Source organism: Homo sapiens, chromosome 8, assembly GCF_000001405.40.
Source record: "Homo sapiens chromosome 8, GRCh38.p14 Primary Assembly".
Taxonomy (NCBI): domain Eukaryota; kingdom Metazoa; phylum Chordata; class Mammalia; order Primates; family Hominidae; genus Homo; species Homo sapiens.
The window spans coordinates 82,905,292-82,919,940 of NC_000008.11; the positions used below are offsets into that span (position 1 = coordinate 82,905,292).

The 14,649-nt window shown below is 34.3% G+C and overlaps 1 long non-coding RNA gene across 1 annotated transcript in view; it reads left to right on the plus strand.

Annotated features, from left to right (window-relative positions):
* Window positions 1-6,812: 6,812 nt before the first annotated feature.
* The window catches only part of LOC101927141 (uncharacterized), a 49,821-nt gene continuing 41,984 nt past the window's right edge, over window positions 6,813-14,649 (plus strand). Inside the window, exons 1-2 of the long non-coding RNA NR_134295.1 lie at window positions 6,813-7,087; window positions 7,648-7,732. This is a non-coding gene — a long non-coding RNA (uncharacterized LOC101927141). The remainder of the gene's footprint in view (window positions 7,088-7,647; window positions 7,733-14,649) is intronic.

Here is a 14,649-nt window from a genome sequence, read left to right on the forward strand (position 1 = left end):
ATTTATCTGGAATCTTTGAGCGCAGGCCATGATAGATTTGTTGGAGACTTCAAAACTAGTGAGGATTTTCTCTTGTAAGGAGATAAAAAATTAATTCTTTCAATCAGTATAACTCTCTTGCTAATTTGAATTAGAAGTATCCTTCCACATCTCCAGGGATTTCAAATTCCTTCATGGAAAGCCAGGAAAAGGGAACATACAGTAACTTATATGTAATGTAAGATTAATTCAATATTGGTGATTTTAAACTGTGTAGAGGTTTTGTTTACATTACCCCTTTATTATTTATTTTATTCAGAAGCATATAATTAGTTATGTATGACATTGCATCATACTATTAAGTGTATAAAACTTTGGCTTTGAGATTGTTAAAAATAAACATTTTAGATGGCACCAGATCCCAAATTCTACCCATTAGCTTTATTATTATTATTTTTTGGAAATGTACAATGAAGTACAAATTTTAGAGAAACTTGAACTCAGATCATCAGAACACAGCACCTCTCTCTGTGACCCATTCCTATTAGCCACCATCATTTTGATTTTAGAAACTCAGATGGTTGATGTGTGATAAAGTTTATAAAAACACAAAGCTCATTGCAGAAGCCTTATTTTGTAAGCATGAATTGTATTTTGGACCTATTAAAGTTTAACATATTTTATAAATATTTAAAGAAGTATTGCATCTGTATACTCTGAAACTAGCAATTGCATATCTAAAAAATCTCAAGAGGAAACAGAATTTCAAAAATCAAATAAGCCCAAGCAAACAAGAAGCTAAAATAATACACACACAAATGGGATTTGACTTTTTAACTCCGAATAGAAGCTGGAGGAAACAAGGAAGATATAAGAAATCTTGGTGGTCAGGCTAAAGAGAAAAAATTGAAGTATGAACATATCTCAGTACTCTAAGGGTTATATCAAGAAAGAGAAGATAATATTATTTTTACTATTACAGGAACATAAATGCTGACTAGCATGCAAGTAAGTTTAAAGTGAGAAGAAGGAGATGGTTCATGGATCTCAGGGAGCTTGGATTCAAGAAATGAATGAAATATCCTCATTAAAGTCATGGTATAGAAATATTCTTTGATGAAAATAATCTATATTGGGTGGTTACACAATGAATTAGATATAATTGGGAAGAGATTATGTGTTATATCACAAACACATACTTTAAGCAGTGTTAGATGACTTTCAAGATGATGTAATTATTGGAGGAGGAAGGGAGACCATGGCATGTTTCTTCACAGAACATGTCTGAGAAATTTCTTGGGTTATGAGCCCAATGGAAGTTATAGCTGAGACTACCTAAATGGGAAATAGGCAGGGAAACAATAATATAATCCAGCATGTGTTTGATTTTTGTCTGATGGAATGGAACCAACTGCTCATAAGTATTATATTTAGTTAGATGAAGATGGAGAGATTTTGTTCGAATAATAGATTACTTTTTCAGACCCCAAAATTATTAACTTCTTATCTTACTCTGTGAGGAATCCTACCTAAGGGAGGAATGTATTCAGAAAGCAAAACGTCTGAGTTTGAAATAAAATGAAAAGAAATGGTAGGAATGCATGTAATGAAGGAATCAATGTTGGTTGCACAAGTATCAGAAAAATTAATGGATACACTTAGAATAAATATCCTAAAACTCAGCAACCTCTATTTGAAGGAAGTGAAGAAACAATGCAAGTACATGAAAGAAGTATTTTGATCCTCACTGGATAATTGAGGTTATAGGATTTGAAGAAGGCTTTTTAAATTGTTTTTTGTATTTCACTTTCAATTGCATTAGTGATCATTTTCTAAAAAATGGTAACTAATAATATTTAAAGCAGACTTCCTTGCTTCTTTTTAATATTAGTATGATGTAACTGCACACTGTCATTTTGGCTATTAGTACGAGCTACACATTCCTCACTCTGCTACATAAGAATACATATACTATAATATTTTGAGAGAATTTCCTTATTAAGTATGGCATTGGATTTTATTGAGTTTTTTTATGTCTGTTGGAATCATTAGTCCTATCCATATTTTATAATGTATTGATATTAATATCAATATTAAATCATCATTAGGTTCTTGAGCTAAATAAATATTTGACTATGGTAAATTATTTTAAGAGATTACTTTATTTTACATGTTAATATTATATTAAGGAATTTAGCATCTACATTCATATATGGGATTTGTTTATACCAGTATTTCTAAAATTCTATACCATAAAACTGTTGTTCTTAAAGGTATTTGCCAAAAACAGGGTCCTGTAGTTCAACAGATGTTTCAAATTCTGCTTTATCTAATCTCTCAAAATATATGGTATACTCACATATTAAATCCTTCTATAATCTTCTATTTAATCTTCCATCATTTTTAATTTTCCATTATTTTTCTCTTTTTCTATTCTTCTAAGATTTGCCTAGATTATTGTTTTAACACATCTATCTTTTCTCTAATAGAATATGCGTAGTAGGTAGAATTTTGATTCCCATGACCTTTGCCATCTGGTGTCATGCCCATAAATATGTTACAATACATGGTGAAAGAACTTTGCAGATGTAATTGAGTTCCCTTAAACTAGGGAAGTTATTCTGGATTACCTAAATAGGTATGAAATAATCACATGAGCTCTTAGAAGCAAAGCTTTCTCCTGTATATGAGCAGAGTTGAAGTCAATGGAAAAAGCAGAAGTCAGAGATATTCATCACATCACTGCTGGTTTTGAAAATGGAGGGGGCCACAAGCCAAGGGATATGGGAGGTCTCAAGAAGCTGAAAATAACCCCTGACAGACTGTTAGCTCCCTGGTCAAGGAAAGGTGCACCTCAATCCTACAACAGAATGAAATTGAATTCTTCCAAAAACCTGAATAAACCTGGTAGTGATTCTCCCACAAAGCCTTCAATGAAGACTACAAATTGACTGACATTTTGAATACAGCTTTGTGAGACCCTTAGCAGAATATTCAGCTCAGCCCATCTGAACTTCTGAAATAAAGAGCAGTGAAATAACAAATGGGTGTTATTCTAAGCTGCTATGTATGTGGTAATTTGTTATGGCAGCAATAGAAAATGAATGCAGAATGTATAACACAGGTATACTTTGGAGATATTGTGGGTGACCAGGTACATTGCTAATAAGCAGTAATATTTTAAAAAGAATATTTTTTCTAAACAGTAAGTTTTAACCATGAGCTTCACAAATTCAGTAAATCATGCTATAAACAGATGTGTTGTCATCTAGGCTTTCTTATTCCCTTTAGAGAGAACATGCAGTGCAGATTTAGCATAAATCTTAAGGGCCCTAGAGTTTCTGGGATGGTAAATGAGCATTGGCTTCTACTTAAAGTCACCAGTTTCCCCTAAGGAGAGAGTTAGCCTGTCCTCTGAAGCTTTAAAGCCAAGCATTCACTTCAGCTTTCTAGCTATAAAAACCCTTAATGGCATCTTCTTCCAATGTATGGCTGCTTTATCTACATTGAAAATGTGTTTGTTTGTTTGTTTGTTTGTTTAAGCATAGCCAATCTTCATCAATGATCTTCTGCATACCTTGAAGCAGCTTCTACATCAGCACTTATTCTTCACATTTCACTTTTATGTTATGAAAATGGCTTCTTTCCTTAAACCTCATGAACCAATCTTAGTTAGGTTCAAATGTTTTTCCGCAGCTTCCACACTTCTCTCAGCGTTCACAGAACTGAAGAAATTTAGAGCCTTACGGCGGATTAGACTTTGACTTAAGAGAATGTTGTGGCTAGTTCGATCTTCTATCCAGGCCACTGAAACATTCTCCATTTTGGCAATACATTTTACTTTCTTAAAATTTGTGTATTCACTGGAGAAACACTTTTATTTTCCTTCAAGAACATTTCCTATGCCTTCACAAGTTGGCTAACTTTTTGCACAAACGGCCCAGCTGTCAACCTGTTTTAGCTTTCAACATGTCTTTCTCAGTAAACTTAATCATCTCGAGCTTTTGATTAAAAACACAGACATGTGACTCTTCCTTTCGCCGAACACTTAGAGGCCATTGGAGAGTTATTAATTGCCATAATTTCAATATCAGTGTGTCTCAGGGAATAGGGAGACCCTGGGAGAGGTCTTGAGAGGGAGAGAGACAGAGAACAGCTGGTCAGTGGAGCAGCCAGAACCCACACAACATTTACTGGTTGAGTTTGCCTTCCCAGAAGAGTATGGTTTGTGGCTCACTAAAATAATTACAATAGTATCAAATACAGATCACTATAATAGATATGATAATAACAATAATAAAGATTGAAATATTTCAACAATTTCCTGTTATGTTACATAAAGACACAAAGCGAGCACATCCTATTGGAAAAATGGTGCCAATAGACTTGCTTGACTCAGGGTTGCCACAAACCTTCAATTTATGAAAAATGAAATAGTTGCAAAGTGCAATAAAATGTGGTATGCCTGTACAATTTTATTGAAACAATAAGTAATACAGAAACAAACTTTAAAATTTAATTGTGTTAAAATAGGGAACTTAAACTTGAGAATGCCTATAGAGAACAGTTTTAGGTGTAGTACGATGATGCTAGACTTTACTTAAGAGATAAGGAAAAACCTAGAAATGAATTCATACATTAAATTATAGTTTAAGTTTTAGGTTAACACATTTAAGTAGTTACGTTTAACTGTATTTGCAACAATTGAGAGATTGCATATGAGAAAAATAGCTCATCTTCAAGAGATTCTCCTACTTTTTACATTACAATGACATATTCAATGTATAATGATGACGGTGATACTACTCTATAGAGTATACAAATCATGCCTGTTGAAAAGTATTTCACAATTTTGGTATTTACTGGTCATCGAAGCATATTTATTCCAATGAAAATAATGTCTGTGAAATGCCCATCAAAGCATTTCTGCCATTTCAATATTCCTTTTCTGAAATCAAATCTTTGGGTGTAATAAAATAAGTGAGAACATTTTTAAAAAACTATTATATAACATTTTTTGAAAATTATTATATTTAACTATTGTTATACATACCACATGAGCCAATTTTTGGTGAACGTTGTTCCTACAATTGCTATTGAAAGATTTAAAAGTTTTAAAAATTATTCCAAAGCAGTTGCAAGAGATGCTATTCAAGGGAAAGAGGGAGAGAAAGAGAGAAAGAGACAGAGGCAGAGAATGAGAGGCTCACTCATTTTTGCCTTCCTCCTGCCCTATAATTTGGAAGGCACAGCTGAGTTCAGCTGCAAGTCAGTTGACAGGACAAACTGGGAACTACAGCCAGCAGAAATCAGCCCTTATGCCACAGAGCAGAGCAGGCATGAGCAAGAAATGGAATCAACAAGAACAGGGCAAGTTTGGGAACAAATGACAAATCAGTTTTTGGTGAATTGCTTTCAGGAAATAAGTTAATTCACATCATAACCAAAATATTGGGTACAAAATAATGACAAAGTGATATCTTTCCTGAGCAATAACATATACACATTTTGATTGATACATACAACTTTATATTTTTTGCAACTTGCTTTAATGTGATAATCATTTACATCTTAAAATTATGCAGTTTAAGAATTTTAGATAGTTTTTTAGAGATCATTTAATACCCAATTAATAGGTGAGAAATTTGAAAATGGGAGAACTTAAGTGATTTTTCAGACCCTCATTTTCTTACTTTCAGTTATAGGTCATATCTACCATACTGCATACTCTCTTTTATTTTTTATTTTTATTTTTTGAGACAGAGTCTCACTCTGTCACCCAGGCTGGAGTGCAGTGGCACAATCTCAGCTCACTGCAACCTCTGCATCCTGATTCTCCTGCCTCAGCCTCCCAAGTAGCTGGGATTATAGGCACCCGCCATCATGTCTGGCTAATTATTTTTATTTTTATTTTTTAGTGGAGACGGGATTTTGCCATGTTGGCCAGGCTGGTCTTGAACTCCTGACCTCAGGTGATCTGCCCACCTCGGCCTCCCAAAATGCTGGGATTACATGTGTGAACCACCATGCTCGACCCATATTCTCTTTCAAAAGTTCTGAGGAAATATATGGTTAACTTATAATAAGTGATACACAGATCATATAGGTGAGATTATAGCAATATTTATACAAAATGTGCATATGAATTCAATTTAAGAGAATTGTGAATACAATCTAAAATCTACATGTTATATATAATACAAGTCTATAAAATACATACAAAATGATAATTACACATTTTAAAAGGCGTGTCATTGATGGTCCTGCTAACCCATTCTTCTGACAATAATCTGTCAGTAGAAAACTACAAATCATTTGTATTGATAATGTTTTCTGTAGCAATTAGAAAGCTTAAACATCATTCCATTTGTAACATGTAGGACACTTAATTGAAACCAATAGAAATCTTAGCTTATTTAAACAAAAAAAAAAGAAAAAGAAAAAGAGTATTGTGTAGCTCAAAAATTCTGGAAAACTATGCAGAATCTATTTTGGAAACTGAGTATCACAAAAAGGAGGTTATGGAGCCAGTCACAGCCAAATCATGCTGCACAATTAGGATGGCGAGAGCAATGCTGACTCTGAAGCTGCAGCTGAGCCCTGAAGTCCATAGCTTGCACTGGGACACTTGGCTCCGAACTGACACTCTGCCAGCAATGCTGGGCCTTAAAAATGTTTGCTGCTACTGCTTCATCGAGAAAGGAATCTCTGTTGCCTCTCATTATTTGCATCACTTAATCGTAACTCAAAGTAGGCAGCTGATTGGCTAAGATTAGTTTAGTAACCACTGGGTGTGAAATGCTTAGTAACTACTCCCCAAAATATCTGGAAGAACCTTTTGAATTGAAGAGGCAAGAAAACTACATACTACATTTCTGATACCCTTTTTTGCAGAAAGGATACTTGATACTTCATTTAAAGCTGAGAGTTGTGTCTGTATCTTCAAGACTTAGATTCAGAGCTGAGTTACTTGGCTATATGAGGAAGCCTCTTTGCTGATACAGATCATGTAGTGATGGTGTGCGAAGTCCTAGACAGCAGCAATTTGATTCAACAACATTCTGACAGTGGTGAGAGGCAGAAGCTCTCTTCTCTACACAACTCTATGGTGAGATTTTGGGAATCAGTCCTAGAAGCGTAGCCTTTAATCTTCTTAATGCTGCTTTGGGCCACCTATGCCTCAATAAACTTCTTCATGTTTAAATATGGTACAAACAATTCTATTGCCTGTAAATTGAGAATGCTCATTAACATAATAAATGGAATCTGTCGTAGTTCCCTGTTACAGACTCCAAGAAAATAAGAATTTACAGATTGTTTCTCCGGGTTTGTTTGAAGAGTGTGAGAATCCATTAACCTTAGAAAAAGGGACTGGACTCTGGAATTGCAGGACACTCAAAACAGTTACATTAAATCCTGCGGTTTCCTGCATGAAGTGTATTGAAAACAACCTTTGGGGCATCAAGTGGCTGGTGCAGTAAACAATTATGGGGACTCACGGAATACGTATAAGAAGAGAGGAGTAGGTCAATTGCTTATAATTACAATCAAGAATTTAAGGTGAAAATATTAGGCTCAAAGTACAAATTCTCAGCTCAATTCAGAGTACAAGAAGACATGGACAATCTTATAGTGTCATAAAATATTCTCTCATCTTTGTTGCTGCAGGGCTTACATATCTGAAATTCAGTTGAATTCAGACAAAATTCAAGTGATATAGTGAAACGGAGTTTGTGATGTCAACTTGCCTAAGGTAAGTAGAACTAAGGATCCCAGAATTCCCTCGCAATGGTTTCCATGTTTTTGCCCCTCCAAAATTCATGTTGAGACTTAATTCCCAAAGCAACAATGTTGGGAAGTGGAGCCTTCTGAAAGATGTTTAGGTCATGAAGGCTCTCATTTTCATGAATGGATGAATGTCACAATGAAAAGAGCTTGTCAAAGTAAGTTCACTCTCCTCTGCTATTCTACCATGTGAGGAAAAGTGTTCCTTCCCTCAGGAAGCAATAGTATTCAGCTTGCTATCTTGGACACACAGAGCAGGCTCTTACCAGATACCAAGCCTGTTACAGTGCCTTGATCATAGATTTTTCAGTATTCAGAACTAGGAGAAATAAAGTATTGTTCTTAAAAATTACCCAGTCTGTGGTATTCTACTACAGCAGCAGAAAACACATTAAGACATCCTTTTTGGCATGGTTCCATGTTACAGTTGCTCAAAAGAAAAATTTGCAAACAATTTGGAAAGCAGAAAAGAGTAACAGTAACCATTACTCTCAGGAGGCCATTATGGATAGAGGTGATAAGAGACACATGTAGAAATACTAGCAGATTTCAGCTTGTCTTTCTTATCTACTTGGAGACAGACAAATGCAGGAATACCAATAGATTGCCATTTGTCCTCACTACCCAGCACTCCATGTCCAAATTTTGTTTTATTACGGTCCCAGCTGACCCATAATAACTCCACAGTCATTCTCATCAGGTGCCTTTAGCAGCCCTCTCTGACACACCTGGCAATAGGAGGCTGGCAAGTGAACTGCCTTTCATCCTTTATCTTCCCTTTTAGATCCTTGCTTCCCCAGCTTCCTCCACAGTAGTGCAAGAGAGTATTCCTATTTAAAAATCCTTATTCTATATTACTTATAGTGTTTTGCCTTTCTGACTGCAACTTCATTGACACATCTTGCAAAAGGATATCGTCTTTAGCCTCATCTCAACAAACCCTCATTACCAATCTAGAGCCCAGTGTCACTCCATGGACCATATAAAGTCAATATCAGAAGCAAATTTTTGAATATCAAAAGAGCTGCAAATTTCCCACTTATATTGGCACAAATTTGAGGAATGTGTGTAGGGATTGATTTTGTTGGGGGCTGCACAAAACAAAAAGGAATAGAACTTAAAATTGGGTTGAGTTTATCAATATGGGTACTCCTAAATGAATTGCAATGTATCATCTCATTTTGATTAATAGGGGATGATTCAAATCATTTGCTTGGCTGGTTAATTAAATCATAATCTCAGCATTTGCCTATATTGAACTTAGAAAGAGATAAACACAATTAATTAACCCACTCATTAATTATGTCCACTAAGGGGGCCAAAATAATCCCCCTTAATAATGACATTGACATATATTTTGAGTAGGGTCAATATCCTTGAAAAGTACTTTAGTAACTCTCATGGCCATCAGCTTTCCATTACTTAAATAAGTTTATATATCCAGAAGTCATTGAGTTAATATATCCAGAAGTTTGATATCTCTATGGAAACACCCTACAATATCACCAAAATCTTATTTCCGGTTTTGTATTCAGTCAAGTTATAGTCTCATGTCAACAAAAATTGTCAACATGTCTACTGATTATTGAATGCTGACTTTAGAGAATGTTAATCCCCGAGTCACAGAATAAAGACATCTAGGGTTCAGGTGGTAAATAGAGTTTGGCCTGAGTCCATCTATAGTGGTGTGGTGATACCAGGAACCCATTATGTATTGGTAGCAGACATGTGGACTGCCCTTGCCACGGTTGATCCCATTATATCACCACTACCTGCCCAATCTGCCAACGGCAGAAACCAATACAAATCTTAAAAAGACATCACAATTAGAGTAAGGGGAAAATGTAGGATCAGCCAGCCACTTGACTACATATATATATTTGTTTTTTTTTTTTTTTTTTTTTTTTTTTTTTTTTTTTTTTTTTTTTTTTGAGATGCAGTCTCACTCTGTCACCCAGGCTGGAGTGCAATGGCATGATCTCGACTCACTGCAACCTCTAACTTCTGGGTTCAAGCAATTTTCCTGCCTCAGCCTCCCGAGTAGCTGGGATTACAGGCATGTGCCACCACATCCTGGCTAATTTTTGTATTTTTAGTAGAGATGGGGTTTCACCATGTTGGTCAGGCTGGTCTCAAACTCCTGACCTCGTGATCCACCCACCTCCGCCTCCCAAGTGCTAGGATTACAGGCGTGAGCCACCGCGCCTGGCACACTTGACTATATTTTTATTTATTTTTTTACTATCTTCTACCATGGAGGAAAGAATCTGTTCTCCTTAAAATAGATATTTGCTCTAGATATGGGTTTGCCTTCCCTGCATACTGTGCTTCAGTTGTAATGCTAATCACAGAATTACTATAAATGTCATTCTAAGTTATGCTACTTTATACAGCTTTGCTTCTAAGCCAATAATAACTCATTTTATAGCAAAAAGCATGCTCTAGCATTGAGAAACAGCTGGTCATGTAGAAAGATGTAATGACTTACTGAAGATTCAGTTAGTGTCAGGTAGGAAACAACTTGTGAGCTTGAGTTGCTTTCTGCTAACATGAGATATATATTATGCATTAGTGAATAGAAGATTGTTTCTTCAGGAGTCTGAGGAATCAATAGGTGAAATAGAGGGGATGCCTCTGACTGTTCTGCCTAATTATCAGTGTCTCAACTTTTTGATTCCTGAGAACATGAAAAGAGTTACATTGTACTGGGACCTGAGACTGACATTTGACAATATTGGGTCAATTGAACTCAAGACCAATACACTGAAGAGTTGTGTTGATCGAGGTGATTAAAGTGGTTTATCAAGAGAAAATGAGGTTTCTGCTACAAGATGGGGATAGGGAAGAAAATACATGTAACCTAGAGAACTCTCTTAAGCTATCTCCCAGTATTTGTCTAATAATAAATGATAATAAAGGATCTGGAAAATCTAATCCAGGTAGGAACATCAAGATATGAAATATTTCAGAGAAGATTTAGGTTACTCACTAAAGGAGGTGCAAACTTACAGAACATTGTCAGCATGAAGAAACTTTTCAGCGTGATACAATTTTTACTATTGTGTTGACTGTTTCATAGCTGTATACATATGTGTAAATTACCAAATTGTTCAATTATAACATTTACTTTCTATTAAATGTCAATTATTAGTAAAGCTATGATTTTAAAATAGACAATTTTATAATCTTATGTCTATTAAGGAAATTAGAGTATTTAAAGATATTCCTACAAATAAAACTCCATGTCCAGTTGTCTTTACTGATAAACTCTATGACAATTTTAAAAGAAGAAATAATGCCATTCAATTCAATTCTACACAAACTTTTCCAGAAAAATTAAATGGAAGAGAATACTTTTCCTTTAAATCACAAGGTAAGCATTACCCTTATTAAAAAACAGTTTCAGAAATTATAAGAAAATAAAACTACATAAACATAGAAGTAAAAGTATTACCACAAAATTTCAAAATCAAAGCCAACTATATATACAGGAAATACACCATGATTAAAAGAGATTTATCCCAAGAATGCAGTTGTTTTGACATTTAAAAATTAATTAGTGCAATTTATCACATTAGCAAACTGAGAAGAAAAATCATATAATTATCTACATGAATATGGAAAAAGCATTTTACACTAATACTTATTCCTATGAAAATTTCCAACAAATAGAAACAATATTCTTCAATATTAAAAGGAACATTTACCAAACCTTGCAACTATCTGCAGATCCAATGGTAAGATTTCATACCTCTTTATAAACTCAGGAACAAGGCAAGGATGTTAGCTCTCTCACCACTTCTTTTCAATGTTGTACTGGAGACCTAGCCAGCACAAAACAAAACAAAACAAAAAAAACAAAAAAAAAAAAAAAGAAGAAAAAAAGAAAGAAATGAAAAAAAGTTATCTAGATTCATAAGAAAAAATTAAACTCTTTGCACTTTCTTGTCAATGATCTGGTAATCATTGAAGAAAATCCTATGGAATCTACAAAAGTAGTACTTGAAATAATATGTGAGTTTAGCAAGTTTGCAGACTACAAAACAAGAGGATAAAAATCAATTGTGTGTATATCTGTGTGTGAATAAAATAATCTGATATTGATATTTTTAAAAGCTACCATTTTTTATATTTAAAAATATTATTCCCTTGTTCCAACCTTCAGTATTCACATACTAAAAAAAATAAATAAACTAATAAATTTTAATGACAAAAGGGAGGTTTTTCACTGTCAGGGAAGAAATAGGAAGTAAGATAGGACAGACAACTTCAATTAACTCTGTGGTAATGAATTAGAGTCAGTCATATATGTACAAATTCATATTGATTTCAGTTTACATTCTAATGGATGGCTACAGAAATAAATATTGATTTGTATGCATACATGGATTACTAAACATACATATATTTTTTAGCTGTATATGTTGGGGGGATCTAGAGAAAGCAGCATTCGAGTGGCAGTGAGCATGCCAGCACCTGGATGTGGTTTCCACATCCAATTCTTCAAAAGGAGAATTGGGGCTTCCTGGAGAAATGGATGACTTAAGGGCTGGGGCAGGAAAATTCAAGATGAGACTTGAGCATCCTGTAATACCATGAAGTAAGGGAGTGTTAAATGAAACAAAAAAAATGAGGGCATGCCAGACGGATACAGGTACAAGCTTTTGTGAGTGCCCAATGGTCTAACTGGTAACAAAATAAAGGACAATAGTGTTGGATTACAATCCATGGAATAATAGGTGTTTCTACCAGTCATACTTATATAAATAAGTAATTAAATAATGGAATGAATAATAAATGAGAGGGCAGGATAAGAAGGTGTCTAATGTAGATATTGTCTAGTTGAATTCTCACATTGCTTTAGAGGTAAGTAATATATTCTCATTTTATATTGGAGAAACTGTAGGGTCAGTGTAGTTGGTTACACAACTAGTTTGAGGAAGTACAAACATAGTAATTCATGTGTTTCTACTTTAAAAATCACCCTTTTATTTCAATATTTTCACTCTTTTTAGCTGATCCCTGTTAAAAGCTTTTTTTTCTGAGTAAAAATTGAATTTATAAGGTATACATTGTGTTTAAGAGAAAAAAAAATCCCTTCATTTAGCACAGGAGTAGCTTCTTGCAGTTCTCCATGTGAGAGTTGGAATTTTATGTTCAAGAAATTAAGAATCTCCGTTTTCTACATATTTGGTCATGGGAGAACCATATCTCCAATTGCACATACGGTACTAACATTAGGTGGTGTGAATATTTGCCACCTGCTGGCTTTTAGATTAGAGGTATCCACAATACTGTGTCTTAAGAAAGCATTTGTGTTGACCGTGTTCCCACAGACCAGAAAATAAAATATTTTTTAGTGCTATTTATTTCGCCATTTATTTTATGACATGTTCTATTAAATTCCAACACTAAAAGTAGCCATATGCATTTGTGAAACATTGCTCTGTTTATAACAATATTTCTATTTTTAGTGACCTGGAAATATTTGAATCTGGAATATAAAACAACTTTTTATTTACTGTGAGGGATTCACATTTATTTGTTTTGTTTTACATGAAAAAGGGGGATACTATTTTACTCAGGAAAATATGTATAAGATATCTCTTAAATATATTATACAAAACTGCCTTTAGTCAGCATTTCTTGGTGTCAAATGTCTAGTATCTGATGTTTTATAATAGATGATAAAGTCTCTACTATCAAGTTACCAAAAAGTTATAAAAATAACTACAAAAATAATACTAGGTGTATATGTGGGAAGTAATTAAAATAAAACTAAATATTTATTCCTAATAAAGAAAATTTGAGGATTAAGTTGAGAGTAAGCAGGCCGCTTAGATGTTTGGTAATGGAAATAGACATGCTTTTCTAAATCTCAGCGTCCACATTAGTAAAATGTAGCAACTTACAGTACAGTACCTACTTCATGGAGTAATGGTGAGAGTGACATGAAATAATAAAAGGATCTTCAAAAATCCAGATAAAGGCATAAGCAAAAAGAAACATAAATTTGTAATCTAGTTTTTTGAAGAAAGACCTCTGAGAGGGAGTTAAATTATTTACATAGTTTACAGTTAAAGTTCTGTAGAGAAAACATCAAATCCTATCATTGCTTTCATTCTGTGTATAACACTATCTTTAATCAAAATCTATGACTTTGGTCATAATATGTAAATTGTTTGAATAAGGAGATATTTATTCTTGTCATTTATTTATTAATTTTGTAAACACCTGTTTTGTCAAATTTGTTTATGCTAGGTCTGGAAGCTGTAACAACAAACTATTCTATTTGTCTTGAAAGAGGTGGCAGTTTCAAGAAGTAACAACTTTAAAACAAATTATAATTTATCTACTACATAATAATGTGTGGAATAGAAATTTCCCTCAGAGAACAAAACAAGGAGCCTCACCTAATTTAGTACTCACATACCAGGGAATATTTTCTTTCTTTAAGAAAATATTCTATGTCGAGGGCTAGAGGTGATTAAAAAGTTAGCAAGATAAAGGGCAGGGACAGGGATGGACAGTGTCGGGAAGAGAGACAAGAATGAGTGTTCCATTGACAGAAGCTTAGACACGGCCTAACAGAGAGTGACAATGGGAATCGTTGGAAGAACCACAACCAGAATAGCACTGTAGAAATGTTTACAAGTGGCCATACTAAGAAAGAAATAGGGAACAAATATTAAAAGGACTTATAATCATTTGTACGGAAATAGAGCTTAGTATCGAGATTAGGGATATTTTTGAAGTGGTAGACTTAACGAGGTGAGGTGATATAATTAGCTATGCAGAATGGCACACAGCACTGGTGATTGGTTTGGACAAGTGTTGGGGTCATGTTCTAAAAGGAGGCGAATTTTTCAAGGGGGCTGCAGGGCA